Consider the following 2,049-nt stretch of genomic DNA (forward strand, 5'->3'; position numbering starts at 1 on the left):
CTTGCTGGGAGCTGCAGTCTGGAGCTGTTCCTATTCAGCCATCTTGCCAGATCTCCCCTCTATCTTCTTTTTTTTTTTTTTTTTTTTGAGACAGAGTCTTGCTCTGTCTCCCAGGCTGGAGTGCAGTAGCACAATCTCGGCTCACTGCAAGCTCCGCCTCCCGAGTTCACGCCATTCTCCTGCCTCAGCCTCCTGAGTAGCGGACTACAGGCTCCTGCTTTTTTGTTTTGTTTTTTGTATTTTTAGTAGAGACAGGGTTTCACCATGTTAGCCAGGATGGTCTCGATCTCATGACCTCATGATCCGCCCGCCTCAGCCTCCCATAGTGCTGGGATTACAGGCGTGAGCCACCACGTCTGGCCGATCTCACCCTATCTTAAGCTATTTCCAGAAACAGAATGACTAGGTCAGAGGGTATTAACATCGAAAAATGTTTCCATACCTAGAACCACATCGTTATGCAAATAAATTGTATCAATTTACACTCACACCAGCTTTACAGGAGGGTGTTCATTCCTTCAGTCTTAAGAATTCTCAGTATTCTTTCTCTTTAAAAAGAAAAACAGATCTTTACACGGAGAAAAGTTTTTCAAGTTCGGCTTGTGATTATCCTGCCTGCAAAGATGAGGGAAAAGAGCGAAAGTTGATCATGTTTAGGCATTACTTTAAGAAGACAAAAGAGCATTTTTCAACCACCCCTTCTGAGACCAGACTAAAATCACAGTCAAGGCACTTATAGGTATAATAGCAGCTGATATGGCTTGGGGCTGGGTCCCTGCCCAAATCTCACATCAAACTGTAATCCCCAGCATTGATGGTGATGCCTGCTGGAAGGCAACTGGGTTATGGGAGTGGATTTCCCCTTTGGTGCTATTCTCTTGATAGTGAGTTCCCTTCACCTTCTGCCATGATTGGAAGTTCCCTGAGGCCTCCCCAGAAGCTGATACCACCATGCTTCCTGTACAGCCCGCAGAACTGTGAGCCAATTAAGCCCCTTTTCTTTATAAATTACCCAGTCTCAGGTATTTCTTTTCAGTAGTGTGAGAATGGACTAATACAGCAACTAATGCTAATAGTGGCGAACAATGTGTGGACTTTACTTTGCACCACTAACTGCTCTAAGATGTTAGAAAAAACTCACCGTACTCTTTCAAGAACCTCTGAAGTGTGTATCATTTGTACCACCATTAACAGATAAGGAAACTGAAACAGATGTTCAATGACTTGGCCAAGGTCAGAAATCTACTGATGGCTAAAGACTCGGTTCCGACCCAGTCATATGGATTCCAGAACTCACACATTGCCTTGGTACCCTCTCTGCTGACAAAAAACTTGAATGAGACCAACAGGAGATCAGAGATTTCAACAGCTATTTAGAAGACAGAACTGACTGAAGAAATGACAACCGAATAAAGATGGGTGAAGGCAGCTGCGATCCACAGCAATATGGAGAGGACATCCAGCCAAGAAGAATCACCTGCTAGGCAGAGCCTCAGAGAGAGGAGAAGTTCACCAGCCCCATGACCCATATAGGATTCAAGGCAGCCTCGAGTCTACACCAATGAAAAAATCAGAGAGTTCATGACTCAATCAAAAAGCCCCAGAAATAATATCCTTGTATTCTGACACTTTAGGGGGTTCCCATCCAATCACCCCACAGGTAAGCCTGCCAGTGGACTTGTCTTCCTCCTACATAGGAATGGATCTAGGATCAGATATATGAGAAAGACAAAATAAGGAAAAGAGACCAAGACTAACAAATGCAAAATGAGTCCAGAAGAAATGAATAATTTTGAAAATGGACAATAATTTTGAAAAAATCAAACTCATGTCCTTGGAGAGATTTAAACTCACGCTGGCCGGGTGCAGTGACTCACACCTGTAATCCCAGCACTTTGGGAGGCCGAGGCAGGCAGATCACCTGAAGTCGGGAGTTTGAGACCAGCCTTACCAACATGGAGAAACCCCTGTCTCTACTAAAAATACAAAATTAGCTGGGCATGGTGGCGCATGCCTGTAATCCCAGCTACTCGGGAGGCTGAGACAGGA

Source organism: Homo sapiens, chromosome 22 (genome assembly GCF_000001405.40).
Source record: "Homo sapiens chromosome 22, GRCh38.p14 Primary Assembly".
NCBI lineage: Eukaryota > Metazoa > Chordata > Mammalia > Primates > Hominidae > Homo > Homo sapiens.